This window comes from Homo sapiens, chromosome 13 (genome assembly GCF_000001405.40).
Source record: "Homo sapiens chromosome 13, GRCh38.p14 Primary Assembly".
NCBI lineage: Eukaryota > Metazoa > Chordata > Mammalia > Primates > Hominidae > Homo > Homo sapiens.
This window is the reverse complement of record NC_000013.11, coordinates 43,543,228-43,569,701: the sequence shown is the minus strand read 5'-3', so window position 1 is coordinate 43,569,701 and position 26,474 is coordinate 43,543,228. Positions and strand designations below refer to the sequence as shown.

At 38.2% G+C, this 26,474-nt stretch overlaps 1 protein-coding gene across 30 annotated transcripts in view; it reads left to right on the top strand.

Moving 5' to 3' along the window:
• ENOX1 (ecto-NOX disulfide-thiol exchanger 1) overlaps positions 1 to 26,474 on the top strand; it is a 573,843-nt gene that overhangs the window by 217,271 nt on the left and 330,098 nt on the right. For 7 of the 30 annotated variants that reach the window (XR_007063686.1, XM_047430421.1, XM_047430417.1 and 4 more), the window contains 2 exons: positions 13,661 to 13,736; positions 16,129 to 16,235. The exons of 17 other annotated variants lie outside the window; for them this stretch is intronic. The gene's annotated coding sequence lies outside the window, so the exon portion shown is untranslated. The remainder of the gene's footprint in view (positions 1 to 13,660; positions 13,737 to 16,128; positions 16,236 to 26,474) is intronic. 6 more of the 30 variants (XM_047430426.1, XM_011535127.4, XM_024449373.2 and 3 more) reach the window with 1 other exon arrangement.

The window sequence follows — 26,474 nt, the reverse complement described above, 5'->3', positions numbered from 1 at the left end:
GCAGGGACCAGATGGAGAAATACAGTTTTTTTTTTAAACCACTAAGGAGCTTGCCCTTTATATTCTAAGGAAAAGATTCTAATAAAGGATGAGTTGTCGTCTCAATCTGCCTCTTCATGCAGTAATGCCAGGGGACCCTTCCTCTTCTGAGAGTGTCACTGGGAGTCTCTTTTATCTTAATCTGTGAGCTACAATGAAGTCAAAGGTTTCAAGAAGAGAACATAGGTCTCTGAGCCATAGCAAAGAGTCTGAGGTATTGATGCAAGGGAACAGAATGCAGAGAATAACCAGCAAATTGATTAATGAAAGTGCCCTAGTTCTATCTATCTATCTCTACTTACCTACCTACCTACCATCCATTCACCTCTCTGTCTAATTTATCTATCTATCTGTCTGCCCTAGGTGATCTTTATATGCTTATGTGATATGCTTCCTAAGAGAGCCTTATGAGAATAAGGAACCAGGGATGGAAAAAGCAACCATGATCCAATTTAGAAAGGTCATTTTTATATCAGTATAGCTTGGAAAGAGGTGAGGAAGGGCTATTGAAGTATTTCAGATAAAAGGTAAGTGAGCGGATGGCTGCATTTCTATCTAAGGGTATACAGCCATTGATTTTCTATTACTTTTGTTTTTAAAGCTTCTTTTCCAAAGAGACCTCAGCCATTTTGCATAAAACCAAAGATTCAACAAACATTTTTTTGATTACCTACACATGCTGCAAGCCCTGGGGATCTGACCCTATCCCCGTAGCTAGCAGATATCATGAAATCATTAAGTTGTACTTTCTCACCATGCTCAGCCTCAGAATTCTGCTCAAATCAGACCCCAAAGACAGCCACTAGTAATAGATAAAAATTGGCTTTTGAAATGAAATCCATTTGCCTTCTTCTGTTTAGTCTCATAGAATGAGTTTCAAATGTGGGGATGAAAATAATAATTATACTAATAGACCCAAATCAACAAATTAGTGTAGGAACTTGAATTTTGGCAGACCCAGAAAAAAAAAAAAACTCTGGAGTTGTAGGACCCGCTCTAGATAAAAGAAAGGCTGAAGCTAGAATTGGTAACTGTGCTAGGGATGCCTCATTTTGGGTTATTTCTTATTTGCATTGCTCTCCCTCCTCTCAGCTTGTGATCTGGCTTAACCCCTAGAAGCTCAAGTGGAGTGGGCCAGTTTATCAAAATGTTTCTTGGAGGAGGTAATCACCTCCACACTAGTTGGTTAAAGTATTATTTTCTCACACTTAATGACAGAAAAGACCAGAGGAGTCTCTGTCTTTTTTCCCGGGGCACCCTGACACGGCTGCTGAAGACAACTCTTCTTTGGCAAAAGCTGGAATTTTAAGTCAGATACTGTGTGTTCTCAGTGTGTGCCACTCTCTGTGGGCAATGTGTCTCGTGCCTGTCAACTGCTTAAGAGGTTTCATGCAAGAGGAAGGGGAAAAAAGTTTTCTGGATTAGCCTTTTCAGGCAAAGCATTTATCTGACACCTTTTATCAAAATATTGTTGCTGTAGTTATATACTATCCTGTGTAACTCAAGTTTATAAATAATAGTGCCACTTGTCAAAGAATTGAAAAAAGTATTACTCTATCACAAAGGTTCGTCACCTAGGGATTTTTTGCATTATGCTTTGAAAGTTTAGAGATCAGTATTTTTATAGTATGGGAGCATTTCTGTGTTTTTTAGAGATGCAAAGTAAACATCTATAAATGTCATAAAGCTTTAAAACCCAAACAAGCTGTAGTCTCATTAGAGAGCAGTCTGGCTAGAATTCACAAATCTAAATATCCTGCCACAAAATTTATTGTAAACAAGAAACCAGGAAAAGGCATGTATGCAATTCAACAAATATCAAGCTCTGGGTTTCTAGCTTGTTAAATGCAAAGATATTTGAAGTTACATAATCATATCCTGACTCATGTTATCAGGATTTACAAATCTACTTTATAAATTCTGTTTCTCTTCCTTGCAGACTGTGGGAACAGAGTAGACATGTAGATTAAGCACTGATCCCTCATCTGCAAGGTACTCACCTCTCTGTGTCTCGGTTCCTTTCCTCTAAATTATGAACATTTATGATTCTCTTTCCCCTATTTTTCATAAATATAAGATTAATTAATTATCAAGCCACATGTAGACAGGGATGAAATGAACTTTTACAGTTAATCATTTCAGCCAGTTTATCTTTTTTTAACAAAGTTCCTCTTGGTAAACAGTTTATTTCCTGGATATGATTTGTCCCATTTTAAAGCATATTAAACATTGAAAATTATTATAAGAGGACTAGATAAAGAGGAGAGTGATAGAACTCACTGGGCTGAAGATCACATTTTAAAAATAATAATATAGGTAAATTAGATAAAAAACAAATACTGACAGGGAAAAAGCACATGGTACTGATTTGCACTAACACATGTATTTTGATAACCATTCAAAGTATAATGAATATGTCTTGATATTGACCTTCCTGTTAAGGATTTGGTTATGTGGTTTTTACCCCAACTTCCAGTCCACTAATTATGCTATCAGGTTTTAGTTGTATATATATTTTCCTCCATCTGTTATGGTGAGTTAAAAAACAAAAAGACCTTGGAGAGACCAATCAGTAATTGGCATGGAAATACTTTGTTCAAATTATGAATAAACAAATTGATTTCTTGGATGGAATAACATTTTCTGTTGGCTGTCTCTTCCTCTGGGAGGGCTCATTGTTCTGCTCATTCTTATTTTGATGATCTGGACCTGGTCACTGAAAAAAGAAGAATTGATGGGGCTTTAGCTATAAGAATTGCCATGATAAACTAACTCCGAAAATAATAATGGCATGCCCTTAAATTTTGTGGTAGCTTTTAATTCACAAAGCATTTTCACATGTGTGAACATTTAAACTTATTTAGAATATAATTCAGTAAATTATTAAATTTTTCGAAGATCTATACCTTCTCTTCTGAGCGTGGAGACAATATCTTACAATCATTCATCTCTCAAATGATACTAGATAACATTTAGTACAAATAACTCAAAGTTCTTAGCTTTTAGTCTTTGCTCTATTTTTTTCAGAAATAATTATCTCCCAAATAACCAGTGTTCCTTCTGTATTGCTGCAGATAGAAGTATTTTTTAAAATAACATTCCAACAGAAGATAGACATGCTATTGCCACTGAAAATAACAATTTGTATATTCCAAACTCAGAAATAAAATATATTTATTTGTCCTGGGTGTTCATCTTCCTTAGAAATACTAGTACAGTAGAATATATATCATATAATAAATATAAAATTCATTGATCTATGCATTGATGGGTTGCATTAAAATTACTATACCTGCAATATCAAAATACCTATAATTTGTCACCAAGTTCATTGACTGTGAGATAATCATCCTTTTCAAGAAAGCAATATGACTGCATAGAGAAATGTAGTCTTATTATTGCAAGAATTAAAAAAAATCTTGTGTCAAATACAAACTGGCATATTAATTCATGCTAATAAATAACAAATGGGAAAAAATGTAAACACTAACATCCCCAGAGCAACTTACTTATATTCAACATTTGTGTAAGAAAGCATAATTTTAGTAGCAAAAACATTTAGTTGAAACTTGGCTCAGGAAAACATGCATTTCTTAAATTTCCTTTTCTTAATTATCATCAGTCACAAGTTATTTTGCTACTGCAACCCACATGGTGATTACGAGGATCAAGAATTTAAAAATTAGGCCAAACAAATAGAAAAATCTCGTTAAAAACTGCCATAACCAGTGAGATTCATTTTCTATCCATCAGTGGATCTGTTTTGTTTTTCAGAATGATCCTAAGGGATGTTTACTAGGATGGCATGGTGGGGTTTTTGCTTGCTTGTTTTTTAACATAAATCTTAAAAGGTTAGTGATGCACCAGCAACTGTCCTAGTTTTCCTGGTCTTGATTTATACATAGCTCACCCTTGGATTTCCTGCTGTTCCTGATTTTGTCCAAACTGCTAATTTGGAAGCTCACAGACAAACTAAGGAAACAAAAGGCAAGAATCTTTCCTTATCTAAAAAATTAACTAAACTTAACTGAAATTCTCCCAAATGGATTGAAATCCCCTACTTTCTAAAGAGCGTCTTTGTGGGTACTGGAGCTGTGACCACCCTGGTTATCCTTCCCTCCCCTAGTCCTTTCCCTTTCCTCACATCAGGCTCTTGATCCCAAGGCTTCCTCCTGGATCCATGAGAGAGAACCCCAGGCCACTGGAGCTTCTGAGGAGCTCAACACCATGCATTTTGTGTCCAGAGCTGAGGAGCTGCTAAAGCTCTGGCAGTCAACAGAACGAAGGGAGAAATGTGTGCTTGACGTTCAAAGTTGGACTTCACAATTACTTTTTGCTTAGGACTCTGGCACTTGACTCCAGCCTCACTGCCCTTTCTTTTGTTCTGTGAACACATCAAGCTCTTTCCAGCCATAATGTCTTTGTTCTTGCTGTTCCCTCTGCCAGGGACTTCCTGGTACTTATCTTCTGCTTCATCATTCAGCTGTCAACTCAGATATCACTTCCTCAGAGGGGCCTTCCACCCCATGACAGCACCTGCTTTGATTTGCTTTATTGCTCTTTCCACTGTCTCAAGTAATCTTAATCTTACTCATCTGTTTATTTTTATGCTCTGTATCCATTGCTTCTCCCCTTCCCCACCCTAAAGTAGAAGCCTCACGAGAGTAGAGACCTTGTTTCTCTTTGTTCACCACTACCACTTCTTTTTTAAGAGAGTGATGGACTGGTGGTAGGCATTCAGCAGATGCTTACTGAGTGAAGGAATGAATGGGACTGATGATAGTACAATATCATTACTCTGCCTTCCCATTTGTAGTCAGGGGCTGCAGGGACCAGCCTGGAAAGCCCTCCATCCTGGACATCAGTATTTCTGTGGGAAAGGTGTTTCTTTTTTAAAATTATTTGCTCTAAAGATTCACATTTGAAATACTACTCTGATAATAGCTGATTCAGTTTATTAATTGAGAGCAAAGAATAAGTAAACATTTTCATTTAAATAAACAGAGTTTGAGATGTTGGCAATCTGCATTTTTAAAGTAATCCTCTCCTACTATCCAGTCACAGCCTTTCACTGCACTCCCACTAGTTTATTCATTGTCCCTGAGGTAAGTGTTTTTGTAAGGCTCTTCTCCTCTTTTAGAATACACACAATACTTGATTTTGTTTATTTTAGGCCTCCTCCTCAAATTCCGTCTATTCCTCATTGCATTTCTTTTTTCTTTTCTGTTTATTATAGTTTTTTATTTTGAATTTTTGTATGTACATAGTGTATATATTTATGGGGCACATGAGATATTTTGATACATATAAATTTTAGGATTTTTTTTCTATTTCTGTGAAGAATGTAATTGGCATTTTGAAAGGGATTGTATTGACTCTGTAGAATGCTTTGCGTAGTATGGATATTTTAACAATATTAATTCTTCTAATCCATAAACATGGAATATCTTTTCATTTTTTGAGACCTCTTCAATTTCATTAATGATTTATAGTTTTCATTGTAGAGATCTTTCACTTCTGAATTCATTTTGCTGGCATTTTGTTAAGGGTTTTTGCATCAATATTCATCAGGGATATTGGTCTGTAGTTTTTTATTTTATTTTTTAATGAGTCTTTGTCTGGTTTTGGTATTAGGGTAATACTGGCATTGTAGAATGAGTTTGGAAGTATTCCTTCCTCAGTTTGGAAGTATTCCTTCCTCCTTTTTTTTTCCAGAATAATTTAAATAGAAGTGATATGCTTCTTTAAATGTTTGGGAGAATTCAGCGGTGAAGCCCTCAGGTCCTGGGCTTTTCTTTACTGCGAGACCTTTTATTATGGCTCCATTCTCATTACTTGCTGATTGTCTTTTGAGGTTTTGGATTTCTTCATGGTTCAATATTGGTAGACTGTATGTGTCTTTATCCATTTCTTTTAAGTTTCCCAATGTATTGGCATACAGTGGCTCATAGTAGCCTCTAACAGTCCTTTGCCTCCTTTTTCATCTGTTTTTATTTATCTGGGTCTTTCCCTGTTTTTCTCAATTAATCTAGGTAAAGGTTTGTCAATTTTGTTTAACTTTTCGAAAAACCAACTTTTCATTTCATCAGTCATTTGTATTGTCTTCATTTTAATTTCATTTACTTCTGCTCTGGTCTCTATTATTTATTCTCTTCTACTAATTTTGTGTTAGGTTTGTTCTTCCTTTTCTAGTTAACTAAGATGCATTGCTAGGTTGTTTCTTTGAAGTTTTTCTTCTTTTATAGTGTAGCTATAAACTTCCCTTTTCTAACTGTTTTCTCTGTAACCCATAGGTTTTGGAATGTTGTGTTTCTATTATCATTTGTTTCAAGAAATTGTTCAATTTCCTTCTTAATCATTTCATTGACCCACTAGTTATTCAGAAGCATATAATTTAATTTCCATGTGTTTGTATACTTTCCAAAATTCCTCTTGTTGTTTGGTTTCTAGTTTTGTTCCACTGTGGTCAGATAAGATACTTGATGTGATTTTATTTTTTTTAAAAAATTTCCAGACTTGTTTTGTGGCTTACCATATGGTCTGTCTTTGAGAATGATCCATGTGCTGAGGAGAAGAGTGTATATTTTGCAGCCATTGGACAAAACGTTCTGGAATTATCTATGAGGTCCATTTAGTCTATAGTGCAGATTAAATCTGATGTTTCTTTGTTGATTTTCTGTCTTGATGATCTGTCTAATGCTGAAAGTGGGGTGTTGAAGTCTCCAGTGATTATTGTATTGTGGTCTGTCTCTCTCTTTAGCTCTAGTAACATTTGCTTTCTATATTTGGGTGCTCCACTGTTATATTTAAAATTGTTATATCCTCTTGCTGAATTGACCCATAGATTATTATATAATGAAGTTCTTTGTCTCCATTTATAGGTTTTGTCTTGAAATCTGTTTTGTCTGGTACCAGCATAGCCACTCCTGTTCTTTTTTTGGATTCCATGGGCATGGAGTATCTTTCCAGTTCTTTATTTTCAATCTATGTGTGTCTTTATAGGTGGAGCATGTTTCTTGCAGGCAGTGGATCATTGGGGCTTGTTTTTTGTTTAGTTTAGTTTTGTTTTATCTGTTCAGCCACTCTGTGCCTTTTGGTTGTAGAGGTTAGTTCATTTACATTCAGTGTTATTATTGGTAAGTAAGGACTTACTGCTGCCATTTTGTTATTTGTTTTCTGGTTGTTCTGTGGTCTTCTCTTCCTTCTTTCCTGTCTTCCTTTTAATGAAGGCGATTTTTTTCTGGTGGTATATTTTGATTTCTTGCTTTTTAATTTTTATGTATCTATTGTATTTTTTTATTTGAGGTTACCATGTGGCTTGTAAATATCTTATAACCCATTATTTTAAATTGATGACAACTTACACTAATTGCATAAACAAACTAATAAAGAGAAGAGTATTAAAAAACTCTACACTTTAAACTTCATTCCCCAACTTTTTAACTTTTTATTGTTTCTATTTATATGTTATTGTACTGTCTATATCTTGAAAAGTTGTTATAACTATTATTTTGCATTGGTTCATTTTTTCATCTTTCTACTCAAGATATGGTGTTCCTATGAGGAAGATGAGTGGTGGAGGCTTCTATTTGGCCATGTTGCTCCCCATCTCTTCTCCTTGCTGCATTTCCCTCTCTCCATCCTTCCCTCCCTCCCTCCCTCCCTCCCTCTCTCTCTTCCTTCCTTCCTTTTTTTTGACAGGGTCTCATTCTGTTGTCCAGGATGGAGTGCAGCGGTGTTATTATGGCTTACTGCAGCCTCAGCCAGTGATCCTTTCACCTCAGTGTCCCAAGTACCTGGTACTATAGATGTACACCATCACGCCTGGCTAATTTTTGTATTTTTGTAGAGACGGGATTTCACCATGTAGCCCAAGCTGGTCTTGAACTCCTGGGCTCACACGCCTCAGCCTCTCAAAGTGTTGGAATTACAGGCATGAGCCACTGTGCCTGGCCCTTGCTGCATTTCTTGACTGTTCCTTTGGGCCTCCCTTTTCTGTGGTTATGTAGTACTAATACTTACTTGATTTTTGTAAAGCCTATTGGATTTCATCACACTCTAACTTTTCTATTGTGCTATATGTAATTACTATATTGATATGCCACATTTACTTAAAATGTGCTATGTGTATCCCAGGCACTACTTTACATCATAACTCCATTCACCCTATAGCAGTCCTGTGATGTAGCTGCTCTTCTTATTCTGATGGCACTGTTCCTATATGCATCATATGTATTAGGAATCTGAGGCTCTGAGAGGTTAACTGACTCCGAGTAACACAGTTATCAAGTAGGAGGGTCAGGATTTGTACCTTGCAGCTCAGCTCCGGGGTATACTCTGCCTCTCTATCTGCACAAGTACAGGGAGCTTTGTCGGCTGTGCTTTTGCCTTGGCATTCTTTGCCTGCCAAACCAGGGGTGAGTCTAATCGGTGTCCTACACAGACTACACTCTAGTTAGTGGGGTGATGATAAGAGGTAGGTGCAAAACCCTAAAATATAAAATCTAGGGTAATCACTGTGAAGCAGGAATATTGAGAATTTGCTGAATTATTTTATCAATAAAATAATAATTTGCTAGGTCTGCCTTTTGATTACGCACTGTTCTCTCTCCCACTCCTCCCAGAATTATTGATAGGGAAGCAGAGGAACAAATAAAAGAGAACAGAAATTTTGATTACTGTCTTTTAAATGACTTCTAGATACAAGGAGCAACCACTTTGTGGTTGAGATTCCAACTGAGATTAAGAAAGGAGGCTGCCAGGTGAGTGAGAACACTTTATAGAGGGCCACTGAGATGATCTGAAACTCAGCAGGATTTTCACTAATTAATCCTGGTGACCTTGTTACCTAAGATAAGCATGACACCTGAACAAAGCACATGATGGCTGGCGCCATACAATCTGTGCTTTACAATTACCAATATATTATTTAATATGTCTTATTTTCTAGAAGACTGTCTCCTCATTCCAAAACAAAACCAAAGCCAATAGACAAATGAAAAATTAGGAATTATATTTGCAGTACACATGACAGATGATGGGCTAATTTCTCTGTGAAACAAGGGACTCAATTAGTAAAAAGTAACAACTCAGTGGAAGAAAACAAATAGAGAATATGAATGGGCTATTCAAAGAAAAATATAACAGCCAAGCAAAGATGGCCTCATTAATGATGGCAAAAATTAAAATAAGAGAGTATTTTTCAGTTGTCCATTGGACACAATTTAAACAGTTGATGCTATCTAGTGGTGGTGAGAAATTGTTACTCTGTTGGAAGGAGTGTAGCTTGGAATAATAATTTTTGGAGAAGTTTTAGTTCTATCTATACAAGTTAGAAAGTTATAATTGTAAGAAGACATATTGCGTATTTTTTAATTGTTAAAACTCAGAAGTAACCTAAAAGCATACCAATAGGAATATAGGTATTATAGCATACCTGTTCAATAGTACATAAAATAGCCATTAAAAAGAACAAACCCATCTATGTCAATGATACAGAACAATGTTGCATGAATATTATATATGGTATGAGCACTTTTTAATAAAATAGCAAATGTTTCCATATTTTAGGCCTGTACCAGCAAATACACACGTGTGTAAATATGCAGCTGTATATGCTTGTTTATGTGTGGGCTGCACATGAAACTTTTATGGTTATTATCTCTAGCAAGTGGGACTATGGTTGGAGGGAAGCCAACAGTTCTTGCTTAGTTCATTGAACTACTTGAAAGTTTTAGTTTAATCATACCTTACTTTTAAAGAAAAGGCCTAGAGTATATTAAAGCATTTTACTAAAGGAGTTTGTGTTTTAGTCTTTTCCAAAAGTTACTTAGCCCACCAAAATAGATATTTTTTCCTCGAGGTCCATGCTCTTAGCATGTTATAATTTCTGTTGGAATGAAAGTTGTATTATAAACACATCTTGCTAACCTTCTTCATGATGCTAACTCCCAATATTGTTCTGTATGGCACCTTTCCTACTGTCTTATCTTTTGCAACTGAGTTGATATATTCTCTGCAGTTTGGGGTCTTGTTCTGTTGTTCACAGTTTTGGATAGCTATAACGGGATAATTTATGCATACCTCAATAACAATAAAATAAGCATATTTAAATAAGTATTTCTTTTCAGAAGTCATCTAATCTGCCTGAGAGACAGTAAGACCTAAATCTGCAATTTGGGAATTGGGCTCCATAGACTTAGTTTTAAGTCCCTCTGATTCCCATATTGTTTTCCATGTCATACAGAAAATTAAGGTTGTACATGGAATACTGAATTCCATTGCAGTTTATAAAGTGACAAAGGATAAAAATAGTTCTAACTAAAGAAGATGGCTTAGCACTGAAAAGAAAAAAGTATAAAAACATCAAATAAGTATGCATGTGTTTGGAGGAGCCATTTTTTGTGAAGCATTTTGTGAATAAGCCCCTTGCATATTTGAGGATTCAGCAGGCCATAGGGCTGTCTAACTCTAAATGCTGTTCCCCTGCTTCCTTGTACAGGCACAGCTGAATTCTAGTCAGACTTGCCAGCAGGCCAGATGTGTATGAGTTTGCCAGATTTAGCTGACTGAATATTGCCATGAACTGAGAAAGTCTCTGGTAACATATTTTTACTCTGTTTGTGTCATCCTTTTTGTTATGGAAGCCGAGTGGTTTGCAGAGAAGAGAGGTGAGGAATTGGGAGACTGAGGAAAACAGAAAAACTTTCCTCATATTGTTTTGTCCTCATTAACAGGATGAAGTGTGGCAGGGGATATAAGTAGAGGATTCAGTGACAGAAAATACATACTCTTATCAGAAAGATATTTCAGTCCCAAAGATTATGTTGGCCAGCCTGTAAAAGGAAATCTGCTACTTTATAAAACAAATCCAGTTGCTTTTTATAAAACTCTACTTCTCTTTAGTCTCTGTATCTTTCATTGATTTCTCATCTATAATTCACCATAAGGATCCATTTTCCCTTTACCTGGAAGAGTGAAAAAAAGAAGAAAACAAATGAATCGTCCAGTCTGTTTAATGTTGAAATGTAGAAGTGTCTCCTTGTCACCCAGGCAAAAATAAATGAAAGCCTGCCAGAGCAACTAAGGGAAATAGTGACTAATTCCCAATGATCAGGGTTAGAAATGCTAGACTTTTCCTGAAGCCAACACAAAGCAGACCCATCCTAGAAATATCCTGGCTCCTTCAGAGTGTTCTGCTGGAATCTTAGTCCAACCTGGTAGCCCATCCAGTATTGCTTTGCCTTAAGGAAGTGAACAACCAGCTAATTGTTTTCAAATTAACTGCTGCTTGAATAAGGACACCCAGAGGAATAGTTCAGACTGGAGACTGCAAAATTCTTCCAACCAGTGAAGCCCCATCATTAACACAACAGCTGATGGCCTTTCTGCTGAAAAACTGACAGTAATCAGAAAGGTGCTTATTGGGGAGCAGAAGGGGCAGCTGTTGACTAGCAGCTGGTTCCCTAGTAAAGATGTGTCCTGTTCTTCCCAGTGGTACCAGAATCAGCAGATGCTGCCTTCTGGACAGCTCAGCACCAGGTTGGTTTCCCAGCTCTCAGAATGACCACAGAAGCAGCCTTCCAAGTAGCATGTACTCATGGTGCAGCTCTCATGGATGGGACCCCTCTAAGTCCTCTTGTGATTTCCCTCAGTGGGACACTGGGCCTAGATTTGCTTAAACTTCTTAAGACAGGAGATAGTGTGAGTGTGGGAGAATAGCAGTTGTAGTAAGTAGTACACACCCTATCAGCTATGATCTCCTAACCAACAAATCTTCGTATATCTTTTTTCTCATCATTATTGAGGTTTTTTTTGTACTTACAACCACAAAATGAATTTTTTAAAAATTTAAAACTTCTGTTAGAGACAAGATCTCACTGTGTCACCCAGTCTGAAGGGCAGTGGCATGATCATAGCTCACTGCAACCTCGAATGCCTGGGCTCAAATGATCCTCCTGCCTCAGCCTCCTGAGTAGCTGGAACTATGGGTATGCACCACACAAAATGAATCTCCTGTTTTCAGCTCAACTACTTATACGGTTGGAACCTGGCTGGTGAGGTGGAAGTGGGGTGCTATTTCTAGGCCAGAATGAGGCTCCTGAACCAGCAAGACACTAGGTTCCATTTAGACCAGGAAGATAAGTCAGAGCCACCCTGCTTCTCATTTCTGCCTTTCTTGCCTCTCCCAGGCAGGAGCTCCTCCCTTAGGCACTCATCCCTGTTCCTGTGAGGAGGTTTCTGCTAAAAGAACCATCCTCCCAGTGCCCCTTTCCTGAAATTGTGTCTTGTCCCTGGGTCTTCTGAAACCCCTTTTCTATAAGAAACAGGCTTCCTGATAGCCTCAGACCGCTTTATGGAAACCCCTACCACCTTCTGGCCATACATGAAATCTGCTGCTTCTAGAGAAGATATTTCTTTCTGTACAGTTTTGACTCCCCAAATGGTCTTGGACTTGGACATGGTATCAGAATTCTCCTGACTCTCTATTTTTCTCCCATCTGAAGTAAAAACTTTCCTACCTTAAGATATGCAGTCCAGCCACTGTCTTTCCTGCGTGTTGGGGTGGGACTCTAATGTCCTGACCTACCACTGATCTGCACTGTGAACTCTCTCCTGCTTCGCACTGCACTGTGTGCCTGCACTGGCTTGCCCAGGCTTTTCCTACTGATTGAAGCATGTGTCCTTTTCTTTTTCACTTATTCAAATTCTATGTAGCTCAGGTCTTTTACCCTCTCCCCTAGTCCCTTCCCTGGTAATCCCTGCCAATAGAGGTTTCTTTATAAAAGTTTACTGTAGCCCTTCTTTGGCACGTAGCCATATATGGCACTTGTGACAATCAGCTTTTATATAATTTACATCTTCTAATGTTAGCTAACATTTTAAGTATTGGGTGACTTATGTACCCACTTAGATGGTCAGACTTTTTTTTTTTTTTTGAGAATAGAACCTTCTGGGAACTTTCTTTGATATAATTATCATCAAGCCCAAGCATGATACTCAAGTGTCTAATAGATAATTGTGGAATGAAAGAAATAATTAATCATGAATGAATGTTTCAAGATGTTGAGAAGCCCTGCTTTCTTTTGTTGCTGATTTGCCAGTTATGACCTATCTAAATAAATTTCCTGATGTGACCTCTTAGTTCTCAGCTTCAACTTACTACGAAGTTTGAGAGATCTACAGTAGAGTAATTTGAGCTTATAAGAAAAAAACCTATTTTTAATTAAACAGTATGACTGCAAAGCAAAAGCTGTGGTGGAGTCAAAATAGTGTCAGTATTCACTATCATCTCTGTAAGTGAGGAAATACGTATCCTTAAGGGAAAGCCTAATGTTCTATAATATGAATCTCTGCAAAATGTTTCTTTTGTCTTTTACTACATATTAGAAAAGAGAAATAATTAGTTCTAGAGTTAAAAAAAAAAAAACTGGGCAAGTTAGCCTAGTAACTTCTTTTAGTTGCTTGCTTGTTTTCCTGGAAGCATCAAAGAGAATGGGAGCGATTAAAGATTTAGAAAAAATACAATTATTTACGTCCCATGTTACAGTGAGAGCTCACCATGGGATGCTTTTTGCTATACATTGAACATTCATTGGTATCGAAGTTCTTTTCATTTTAGGAAGCCATCCCCAAAAGACAGCAATTTAAGTAAGGGGAGATTTGAGAAGATTGAGAACTGTTAAATGTGGGAGGAGGTAAGTTATAATGGCCAAACCTTCCTCTACTTTGATTTCTCTGCTCTGTGCTATCTCTAAAAAGCAGTATGTCATCCCTAGCTGCAGTGGGCAGATTCATACATATTTACAACTTGCGAATTATGAATGTGCAACCCAGAGAGTAGCAGTGTTCTTTGTCTTTCTGCTTTTCTCCCTTCACTAATGATTCTAAACTCTTAGCACATCCAGGATTTGGAGACTAGTTTTGTAGCTTGCCATTTCCATTGTACATGAATTGGGTCTTTGTAATTTAAATGGAATTTTATTTTCCAATTTGGAAGCTTCCATGTAGGTAGACTGAGGTTTTCTCCATCCTCTGTCGGGGCTTTGATGTGATGATTTATTAAGGTACTAGGAGAGATATTGATCCTGCTAATAGCTTCTGCCTTGCCACATAATGTTTTACATTTTACTCAGCTCAAAGACCATATTCCCCTTTTCCTCATCTGATTGACCGTAAATGCTTTGGCCTTTCCTCAGCAATTATCTCACTTACCAAAGCAGTGGCTAAAAGTCAAGTATTTATAGACTAATTAGTGAAGTCAACATGTCTAAATAGAGTACTTCACATAATACCAAGAAGTATCGTACAGTACTGTGAAATTAGCAAAGTTTGCTACAAGGCAAAAAAGCAAGGGTTGAGAACACAGATGGTTGAGGACACATATACGGCTGATGCTAGTTGTCTTTGTGTGATTGTTAAGACACAGCTAAGGTGATGTTTTCTGATAGCACTTTTCCTCTGTAGCTTCTCCTTAATCCTAACATCTTTTTACTCATGAAAGCTTTGGGATATTAGCGGGTTTGCAAGTTGTTCCCAATTTTTTTTATAATTTACTATTTTGGGATACCAATAGAAAGGAAGATATCATTTGACACTTGAGCTCTTAGATAGACAGGATAAGAATGCAAGAATCACTTTGTTATTTTTAAAGCTACTTTGTATTTTTAGAATGTCTTTAAAGTATTCTCATCCAAGATATAATTAGTTCAGTTTTGAAAATAAGAAAACATTGCTTAAGAGTTTAAGAGAATATTGGGCTAGGGGTCAAAAAACCTGGTTAGGGCCAGGCACCGTGGCTCACACTTTTAATCCCAGCACTTTGAGAGGCTGAAGCAGATGGATTGCTTGAGCCCAGGAGTTTGAGACCAGACTCCTGAGCAACATGGTGAAACTCCGTCTCTACAAACAATACAAAAATTAGCTGAGTGTGGTGGTGTGCACCTGTGGTCCCAGCTACTCAGAAGGCAGAGGTGGGAGGATCGCTTGTGCCCAGGAGGTCAAGGCTGCAGTGAACCAAGATGGTGCCACTGCACTCTAGCCTGGGTGACAGAGTGAGACCCTGTCTCAAAAATAAAAACAAAACCTGATTGGAGTCCTAGCTTTGAAACCAGTTACTGCATGTTTTTGTACTGGCTACACAAGTCTTCTGGGTACCACTTTTCTCATTTTGGAACTGGAGATACAAAACAATTACAAAAATCAAAGGAGATAATGAATGCCCAAGTACTTTGTAAATTGTATAGCACTATACAGATCTAACTATGTTTTTAAATCACTTGCATTTACATAAAGGGCAGCAAAGGATTCCTTTCAAGGTAACTGTAGGCAGAAATAGGATTTTAGCCCAGACTGCTGTTAAGTGCCTAATGTGGCTCCCTATTTTTGCCATAGTCTTTCCTTCTGATTCAATGTGTACATGGATTCTCATGTATACCTGCCTTTCGCATTCCATATGATTCGGGAGGGATGGAAAATCTCTTTGGAATCTCCAAAGATTATGGAATTTTTTTGGAAGTAACAAGGAATGTCTCCTTATCTAGGATCCACCTGTAATTATTTATGTTTTCCCCAAGTAGCATTAGTGCACTTAGAAAGATACTTTGTGATTTCTCAGCCAGGCGCAGTGGCTCATGCCTGTAATCCCAGCACTTTGGGAGACCAAGGTGTGTGGATCACTTGAACTCAGGTGTTCGAGACCAGCCTGACTAACATGGCAAAATCCCGTCTCTACTAAAAATACAAAAATTAGCTGGGCGTGGTGACAACACACCTGTAACCCCAGCTGCTCGGGAGGCTGAAGCAGGAGAATCGCTTGAACCTGGGAGGCAGAGGCTGCAGTAAGCGGAGATCGCGCAGCTGCACTCCAGCCTGGGCAACAAAAGTGAAACTCCCTCTTTAAAGAGAAAGAAAGAAAGAAAGATACTTTATTCTCACAATACTCTAGGACTAGAATGGAGAACAACAACAGTCAGTTCTCCAACATATCAGCCTTAAGTAAACATCACTGTGTGCCTGATTTATATCATGCTTTTTGTTTGTTCATTATCCTGCACTTCCTTTAATCCCTCTACTTGTCATTATCTGCAGGAACTAACAATTTGCAAAACCAGAAACCAAAGCAAAAGTGAATCGTACAAATGACATCAAAAAGGGATAAGGCAGATATATTTAAGTGAGCCAGTTTTAAAGAAGCGGTGAGTACTTTGACACCAGTAAAACAGGAACTTTTTCTTTGGGCCTTCGTTGTCAGAGCAACCAAGTGTCAAGCCCAGTCTGTCTTATGGGATAGCATTTTTTTTCTCGTTTGTTTTGTTTTGAGAAGTAAAGTAGCAAAATGGTGATGGTCCTACATTCACTATTAACTTTAGTTATTATTTATTGACTGCTCAATGCAAGATTTCCCAATTCAGCACATATGAATTGGTGTTATGACAATAGCTACCTAAACCTACATTAAATAATAGTATTCATGTTGAATTTTGCTGCTGTATTTCGTTTTTGTGTGCCATTCCCAACTTCTGGTGCCTCCTAACACCTGTCTTTAGGTACCGGTGGTGTCTCTAGGTTGCCTCTGACTGCTCAGATTTCCCAACCCCCATCTCCACTCCCCATATTTCCCCATACAGAATATCCCAGGTTCCAAAATTACCTCCTCTTCCTCTTCAATATTATTACAAACTCCCATTTTTTATCATGACTACTTCTATTAGGAAGGAGCAATATCCTTAAATTAATTGGTAATAAGATATCTGTGACCAGTGAAGCTCCTCCCTAATTCTCCTAGGGCTGTATTTTCACTTTAACAGAAAATGATATGCTATTTGCTTGGATAAGCAATCATTTGTTCATTCATTAGCTCAACAAATAACTGATTGCCTAGTCTTACCTTCATGTATTAAGACAGGCAGAGGACTACAAGGTTAGGTAGTTCTTTTTGGGTAGTCAGTCCTGGACCTCAGTTAATGACCCAGGCAAAACCATTCATGTCAGGCTTATTTTGGTCCTACTGTGTATACCCAGGAGTGCCTACCATGTAGGCAGCAGCAATTTCAGAACAAATGAGAGGGGGAAGAACAGTTGCAGAGAGGAGAGGAGAAGCAAGCTGGGACATGGAGATGCAGAGAAATAAAAAGGGAGGAGAATGTATAGCCAGAAGAGCTAAATTATTTAACCAGCAAGGTTTCTTCTGACCCTAAGATTCTGTGTAAATGAGAAAGAAGAAGGGAGGGAATAAGCTAAGGAATGAAAGGGGAATGAGGAGGGTTCTAGGAATATACTAAAAGGCTGCATTGTTTTCTTTTTTTTTTTTTTTTTAGTTAAGAGCCTCTAGGTTAATAAATATCTTATGAAGTACTGTTTATCTCCTAGAGCAGAGGTGAGCCCTTTTCTATGGCTTCTAGGAATTTCAAAAATCAATTGATGGGTGGCCTCCCTGGCATGCTCCTTTCATGACATCAGAGAATGTCTCCCACAATGAAGTTGAAACTGTCAATGAATACTTCGGTGTTTTATTTTCAAGCATTTTTTTTCTTAAGTCAGGGCTCTCAAAGAGGGTTGGTAAGAGATCAGAAACCTCTCAGAGTGACAGGGCGAAAGGTCCCTGCTTCTTCCTGGAGAGGTTGGAGATGACTCAGACATCAGGGTATCAGGTAGAGACCAGGTCAGGCCAGCAGGACATTAAAATACAGAGAAGCTGAGAACGAAACCCAGCTCCTCATAAAACCAGTGTTTTCTAAACTAAAGAAGCAAATGGAAAAAAATTAAGGCCTGCGTAAAGATTATTTAAATCATTTCATTAAGCTTACCACATACCCTTTAAGTCAAAATAACCTCATCTTGTCTGAGGTGGTGTGTGGACACAATTGTGCTGGGCCCATCCTCTCCTGCACTGGCTGAGTGTGCTGTAGAAGAGGAAAGGTGTAAGGAACAGCTAGAACAGCTTTGTGGGCAATTTTGCCATCATGATCGGGTGAAATTTAAATTGATATTAAGATACCAAATGTTCTTTTGCTTTTCAGTCATCGTATTATCAAATGTAATAATCAGTTGTTGCAGCTTATGAAGCCCATGACTATCAGATTTGACTAAATTATAATGTACCTTTTAAGATAAAAGTTTTTGGTGTATAAAAATGTTTTTATCTTAAAAGATAAAAAATGGGTCAGTAGTTTCCTGAAGCAGAAATATTCTGCATAATTTTCATTTTTTTCTCTCTTTATTATTATTTTTTCTTCCAACAACTTTTGAGTCAACAGCACCTCAAAAAGATAATACATCGTGATCAAATTGGTTTCATCCCAGGGATGCAGGGATCATTTAACATATACAAGTCAATAGATGTGATACATCACATAAATAGAATTAAAAAGAAAGGCCACATAATTTTTAGAAAATAAATTATCCCCTGAACTTGATCTAATTGCTCCATTTTGAAGCCTCACCATGGACAAATGTAAACTATGTTCTGTGTTAGGTATGCTATACTTGGAAAAGTATTTGAGAAAGCATATCTTGAAACAGCATCTGTAATTTTTATTTTATTTTAAAAATCCCAGTGAAGTTAAGTTTAGGATTGTGTATCTTTTTAAGAGTTATGCAAAATTACTTAAAAAAAATACTTGTCTCTTGGATATGATAATATTTGAAAGATGTTACTGGGAAAAAGCACAATGACACCAGGGTTTTGCTCTCTAAATATGGGTTACTTATGGTCTAAACTCTTAAACAGTTAAGAAGCAGCATGTTTTGTAATACGAACTCCTTTCCTTAATAACGTAAACTGCTGATCTAAATTGCTATCGTAATGTCACAAAAGGCTCATTGGCTAGAGATGATTGATTCTTTAACTCAATACAAAGTACAACTTCTTTGCTATGTCCACATACCCTGAAGATAAGTCTTAGAAACTTTGTAAGGAGGAGAGTTTTTGTAGTTTTTGAGCACATTATCATGGGAAAATTACTTAACCCCTTTGAGGCACTGTTTTCTCACCTATAAATTGGGCCAGTAATAATTTAACCCTCTCAGAGTTTTTGTGATAGCTGAGGCACTGAGCAGTGCAGTCACATCTTATCTCAAGCAAGGATTGGATATACCTTATCTGCAGTCAAGTAGAAGATGAGAAAGATGTGTAGGCAAAACTATTCTTGACATGTGCCTAATTTCTCATAAAGAACAGCAAATGTGGTTCTCTCCCTACTTATACCATCTCTTGGGAAGTCCTCACAGCCCATTGTCCCTCCAGTATGACACCCAACTGCTGATGGACACTGGAGGAAGACACCGTGTTGAATGAGCAATAGCATATTGTGGGGCTCCAACTGTGTGTAGGATACCCAGCACCATGCCTCACACAGCTCATATTAGTTTACCTTCCCTTTATTAATATTAGTTCACCTTTTCCTGCACCCTAGAGCAGGGGTCCCCAACACCCAGGTCATAAACCAATACCAGTTTGTGGCCTGTTAGGAACAAGGCTGCACAGCAGGAGGTGAGAGGCAGGCGAGTGAGCATTATCACCTGAGCTCCACCTCCTATCAGATCACCGAAGGCATTAGATTCTCATAGAAGCGAGAGCCCTATTGTGAAGTGTGCTTGTGAGGGATCTAGGTTGCACACTCCTTATGAGATTCTGATGCCTTATGATCTGAGGTAGAACAGTTTCATCCCAAAACCATCCCCCTGCTGCCATCTGTGGAAAAATTGTCATCCACAAAACTGGTCCCTGGTGCCAAAAAGATTGGCAGCCGCTGTCTTAGAGCCTTGATACTAGTGTCTCCTGAACCAGTGGGACCTGAATGTGGAATTCAGTACAGCTTTTAAGGCCTTGATCACAGGAGTTCAACTTGAAGTGGATAATTCTGAAACCAGACATGTTGGAACTGGGTTCTTTTAGGATCTACCTCATTTTCATTGGACACTGAGGAGGAGCCATAAGAGCATTAGGCTCAGAGCATATATACATTTGCAAGATACAGAGGAGTATCCTCTAGAATCTACTGATGCAGTTAGTATATTTTAAGTAATGGTAAATTTCAGCAATGTTAAAAATAACATCATCTGAAAAGTCATGCATTTTTGTGCCGTAACTATTTTTACATGAGGTATTGATCATAGTAGAATACAAAACTTCCATTCTTGTGAAGTCAGAAGATGAACTGAAAATATAAATGAAGTTAGAGATGAATTAGTTATTTTACTCGTTTTTTTGTTGAATAGAGGGACTTGTGCTTCCTAATGAGTTATTTTAAAGTACTTTTAGCAGTTGTTATTTTGCTATTCTTGTCTGAGTTTGAATTCTATTGACTAGGTAAAAATGCATTTCTCAGTTGCTGAGTTTTCAGATTTCTGTTTACAAGATAGAGACATTAAAGGTGGGAGTTTTGCTAGAGACTGTTTCATTGATATTTCAGAATAAATTCAATGTGACTGATATTACAGTGGACTGATTGATACACTCTGAGAGAGAAGAACTGTCTCTGTCAACAACAACAGTCTAATTCCATAAATTTTTACTATTTTGTGCCAAAGACTTTCCTACATGGCAAGGATAAAATGTCTTTTGGGAAATTATGCTTAAGACAAACATATGGACAGAAAGTTTCAAAAAGTATAATAAATTCAGTGTTAGAGGGAAACAGAGTTTGTGGGAGGATCAGAAAGGGCTTTACACCAAAAGGAGAGACTCTAGGAAGAGGGTTTTTTTTGGTTGTTTTTTTTAAATTAACCATTTTCAAGTAAACAATTCCATGGAATTTGGGAAGCGCTTTTGCAGAAGGTAATATCTGAACCCAGTTTTGATAGGCTTTTGATTGAAAGAGGAGGAAACAGGTAAGTGGAGGGAGAGACATGGACATTCCATTAGTGATATCTGTCAGCCTGTATTCCTTTCCTGCCAGCCGCACCTTGGGTCGTCCCGTCTTAGCTTATGGAATCCAAGTGGTACATCTGTAGGAATAGGCCACCAGGGCTGGCCATTCAGACCACAGGAATAGCAGACCACAGGGATGGCATGTGGACCCAGCCAGATTAAGGAGACCCAATCCTGAGACATTTGTTGAACTCCCAGAAGAAGTTTCGTTGTGTTTTATAAAACTGAGGTTGCTGCATGATGTAACGTAAATCTGGAAGTCCTGATAGTCATTTTGCCTCCAGTTAAAGATAACCTACTTAAAAATGAAGCCAATGCAGAGGGCAGCAGAATTAAGAGATGGAGAAAGGTCCTCATAGTCTAAGCACCTAGTTCTACCCATACCTGAATGCTTTATCCCTTGAACTTTCCATTAAGTGTGCCAGTACATCCCTGTTTTTACTTCAGCCACATTGAATTTGGTTTCTATTGTGTGGAACTAGAATACTTCTAAGAAAGGTTTCTTTGGAGGGTCAGGGAGAGGGATGTTAGTTGTTTTGCTTTTATGAAATTTTGTTATTTTTGACTTAAAAAGAAACTGTGGCAGTTTCCAAATAACTATGCCTTCTGAAATAGAAACTCCTTTTCTTTTTCTAATGTGTTCAAATAATCAGGAATTTAAGCTTAGTTCTAAAACTATTATTTTAGAGCAGAATTTTATATCACTAACACTCAAAAGAAGAGCCTTTGGCCAAATTCTAGTCATAGAAAGTCATTGTTTTTCTGTGAAAGGTTTATTGTGTTTGCATATACTCTCTAGCCACTCTCTTGGGGAGGACTTGGGTTTCTGGACAGGAATGCCCACAGCAGTGGGGACATCAAACCTGTAAACTAAGTTAGGGCTTGCATCTGTCTTTCCTGATTGCACTGGGGGTCAGAGCTGTCTCCCTTTTGGGGTTCACAGTGCTATATCCCTAGTACCAGAGAGTCCCACTTTCTAGAAGAGCCTCTCAAGAGGTCATGTCTTTTTTAGCCTCAATATTGGGTTTGTAGGCCATCTGAAGATTTGTGGATATATTTAGGCAGAACACGGTTTTATAATATCTGGTCACTATTGTTAACTCAGACTACTCATTTCAAATAGTAAAGTTTCCTGTGCTGTTTGCTGACAAACTACTGAAAATGAAAGTATTCCTTTAGACCTACAACAATAAAACAAACCAAAATTGCCCCTTTATATGTTTTATCTGGTGAGTATGTAGAAAGTTCACTTTCAGATCTTTCTCTTTGATGTCTTTATCAGTTACCTTTTTCTATCAAAGATAACTTTTATCTTCACACATTGTTAATGAATGTTTGTAGAAGTTTGCTTCTCTTATACATGTATCTTGTCATTTATCTGGAAGTACATATTAAGTTAGTGCATTCTTCCACAGGGCTCTCTGTTTGAAACTATTTTATTTCCATACTTTTATCTCTGGCTTGTTTTTATTTAAGGAAACCAAAGCAGATACAGACTTAAGAATGTGAATGTTTCAAAAATTGTGATTGTAGTTGATTATGTTGGAGAAACCTTTCTTCATGGAAACAAAATTCAGAGTTTGCTCAAGAGCCATCTTCCCCAGTTGGTCTGTGAACCTGGGGTGGAACTCTCAGAGATATTAACTGTGATCCAGTTCAGAGGCAAGAGGATGGGCCAGGCCTGACTCTCCTGTGATTTTATGGTTGGCTGGGCCGGCTTAACAAACAATTAGCTTGCATGTATTGTTGAAACAATAATCCTCGATTGGCCCAGAGGGAGGTATTGGCAACTCAAATGGGAAGAAAAGCAGTTTAGTCCTGCCTGCGTTATCCATGTCTGAGATACTTTGCAGAAGGCACTCACTTCCAGAGAATCCAATCTGACAATGAACAGGACTTGGCAAGTCAATCTCAGTGATGTTGTGAGAAGGATAATTTAGATTAAATTGTACTGTTTTGACTATTTTCTGGTTCTGTTTCTTTTTGTTCAAGTCATTGGGATGCATGAGAATGGTTAAGTGAGATGTATGGTGATAGGTGAGAGATCTTACATATTTTAATGATTGGTTTATTTATAAATAATTTGTCATCAAAATTCTGTTTTGATAGTCACAAATAATGAAAAAGCAGAAGCTGGGGGTGTGAGGAGCATATCTCTGCTGTCAAAATCTGCAGAGCTCTGGAAGATATGGATCCTTCAGATGTGGTAAGCAGGGCTCCGACAGTGAGGCGGCAAAGGAGATTTATTTGATTGCAGTCTCAGTGTTTCCCTTTACAGTTAGAGTGACATAGGAACTCCTCCCACCATCCCCAGGCTCCTGTGGGGTCTGGCCCTACTGCTCTGCCCTGTGACCTCTTCTCATGCACGTGCCTGTAGTTGACCAGGCTCCAGGCACACAGCCAAACTGTCCTCCACATCACTGCATGGCATTTGCTCCTGCTGCCTGGGATGCTCTTGATAGGGCTTGGCAGCTCTTTCTCTTCCTTTACTTTTTGGTTTAATGCCAACTCATCTGAGAGGCCTTCCCTAAATCTGCTGAAATCTGCCCCCTCCACAGCCATTCAGTCTCTATCCATGTTTAACCATCTTCATAGCACTTATCACTCTTTGAAAATTTGTTTTAGCTTGTCTGTTTTGTCTCTTCCTACTAGAACACCTGTCTATGAGGGCAGGGACCTTATTCAGCACCGTATTCCTAGCACTTAAATATTATCTGGCACAATATAGAGATTCAATTAACACTGAACGTTTTATCTTTCAAGACTTGTTCGAGTGCTGATTCATTATTTTATGTTTGAAACATAAACAAATAGTTCTATTGCCTCCTGCCATTACAGAGAAAATGCCAACCTATCGAAATGGCACCCCCTCCAACATCCTCCCCTGCACCTATCAGAGGTCTGTGTAGCTCAGATAAGGTGGATCACTTTATTGAATAAAAGAGGAGAGAGGATAGTAGATGCCAACAACTAGACATATACTATTTGCTTGGAGGAGACATCTTCTTCTGAAACATCTTTCTGACATAAATAGCAATCTACTTCCCCCTGGGGAACATGCACACTGTTACACAATGTGGACATTAAGTTTCCAAAATCAACAAGTCCCTGGAAGTTTCTTGCTATTTCTCAGTCCATGACCTTTGGCTTTGCTTTAATGAATTGTGTGTTCCTGCTGCTTGGCAGAAAACAGGGAGAGAGGCAGGATCCTGGGAAGCTCCACACTCCCCACCGACCCCTCACGGTGACTGGGGCCCACAGACCAGGCCTCTGATGGAGGCCATTCCCAGGAGCCCGGTCCATCCCTCCCCATCCTAACACTGCCTCCACCCCGGGGTCTCTTATGCATGTATGAGAGAGGAAACAAAGAATCTTTACAAAAAGATGATTTTTGTGAGGTAGTTTAAGAGTAGACAGCAAATGCCACCCTAGGGTCAGCTGGAAAGGCTAGTTGCATAACAATTGCATTTTCTTTATCACTTTGAAGATGGTAGGATGGGAAAACTCAGTAACTTCGTACACCTCGGGGTCCTTTAGAGAAGACTGTCAGTTTACTGAAACATGACTGGCCTGTTTTATTTAGAGGCGCAGACACATTGTTTTAATGATATCTGAAATTCCTTTGAGATAGCAGAGATACCATTGAAGGTTGTGCCCCTACCTCCCTTGGACGCAGCTGTGTGGTCAGGAGAGCATGTGCTGCCAGTGAGGCCAATTGGGGCTAAGAATTTCGAGGATAAAACAATGGATGGAGTTTAGGGATATGTGTTGTTTATGTATAAATGGGAGCAGAAGAAAGGAAGTTTTTGAAAGAAAATAAGTACGGACCTCTGTGTTCAATATAGTTTGTCAGGCTGGTTTCAGAGCAAAACCACTGTTCTCTCTTATCAACTCGTTCTTTCCTTTTAAAGATAAGCAAAAATATCACTCCCTCTTCAGCCTAAATGTTCTGCTTGTCTTGACCAGCAGATGCTTTCAATTATTGGCTTCTTCCCAGAGCAGAGAGATGCGCTAAACCTCTGCCAGGTAAGGTGACGCTTACTGGATGAAGCTTGACTTTTGTTCTCTTTGTAGTTGGATCATTTGGGAGATAGGCGGTTCTCTTGTGATTATGCTCCCAGCCTAAAATTAATGAGCTAATTTGGGCATAAAACTTGATTTCTATAATTATTTTGGCAATAAGTGTACTCTATCAGGAAAACACAACAGCACCGCCCCTTAATTCAATTCTGTCAACTTTTATCAAGCATCAACTGTGTGTCGGGCCATGTTTTGGCCCTTGGTGGGGTGAGAGGAGATTAAATGGGCTCTTCAAGGCAGTAGACAACAAGAGGCCTGCTTATATATGAGGTTACTAAGAAATAGTTGTGTGCTTGGGTTCTCATTTTATTATAATTCAAAATATCATTTAGTGAGTGCCTAACTTTGGTCAGGCACTTAACATGAATCATCTCCACTCCTTACAACAATCTAGATAAGGAGATAATATTAGCTTTAATTTACAGCCCAAGAAACTGGCACTCAGAGAGAATGAATAACTTTCCAAGTTTATACAGCAAGAAAGTGATTCTGATTCACTGTGTACTTTTTTTTCTGGTAGACAGTAGCTTAGGCTGGGCGCGATGGCTCATGCCTGTAATCCCAACACTTTGGGAGGCCAATGCAGGCAGATCACTTGAGGTCAGTTTGAGACTAGCCTGGCCAACATTAGCCAGGTGTGGTGACTCATGCCTGTAATCCCAGCTACTTAGGAGGCTGAGGCAGGAGAATTGCTTGAACCCTGGAGGCGGAGGTTGCCATGAGCCAAGATCGTGCTGCTGCACTCCAGCCTGGGAGACAGAGTGAGACTACATATCCAAAAAAAAAAAAAAAAAAAAGAAAAAGAAAAAAGACAATAATGTAGATGGGAATGTATTTTTAAATAAAGCCACATCACATGCCAGTTTTAAAAACCATCTACAAAAGAGATAAAAGAGAAAGATGATTTTCATAATCTTTAAAAGCTCAGTGATCTAGTATGGCTTGAGATTTGAAAACTATTTAACAGGAAATCAATGCATGGCATGAAATGAGAACAATAAGACAGGATTTCTGAAAAGTCAGAAGCAAGGGTTTTTTTTTCTTTGCATCATTATGGGTAACAGAAATAAAGAAAAAACTTACTATTTTGTTCTAAAGGCATAAAACACAAGTAAAAAATGAACATCAGGTCTTTAACATAACAGTCCTGTACTGTGGGAAGCAGGGGCAGGGAACCTTAAATACTCTAGTTCAGTGACTCATTTTTTACTACAAACCGTAATATGAAAAGCATTTTATATGATAAATCAACACACAAAAATTTACATATACCCACACAATAACACTCATCTATATGTGAAACAAAATATTTCATGAAATGTTACCTCTATTACATACAGTATATTCCGATAGCTTCTGTTCTAGCTTACCAAAACAATTTATGTTTCTGATCCATTCACTAATAGCTCAAAACATGATGTTTGGAAAACAGGGCTCTATCTGATCCCCCAATTTTTCCCCTCCTCTCTTTATTCCTTCCTCT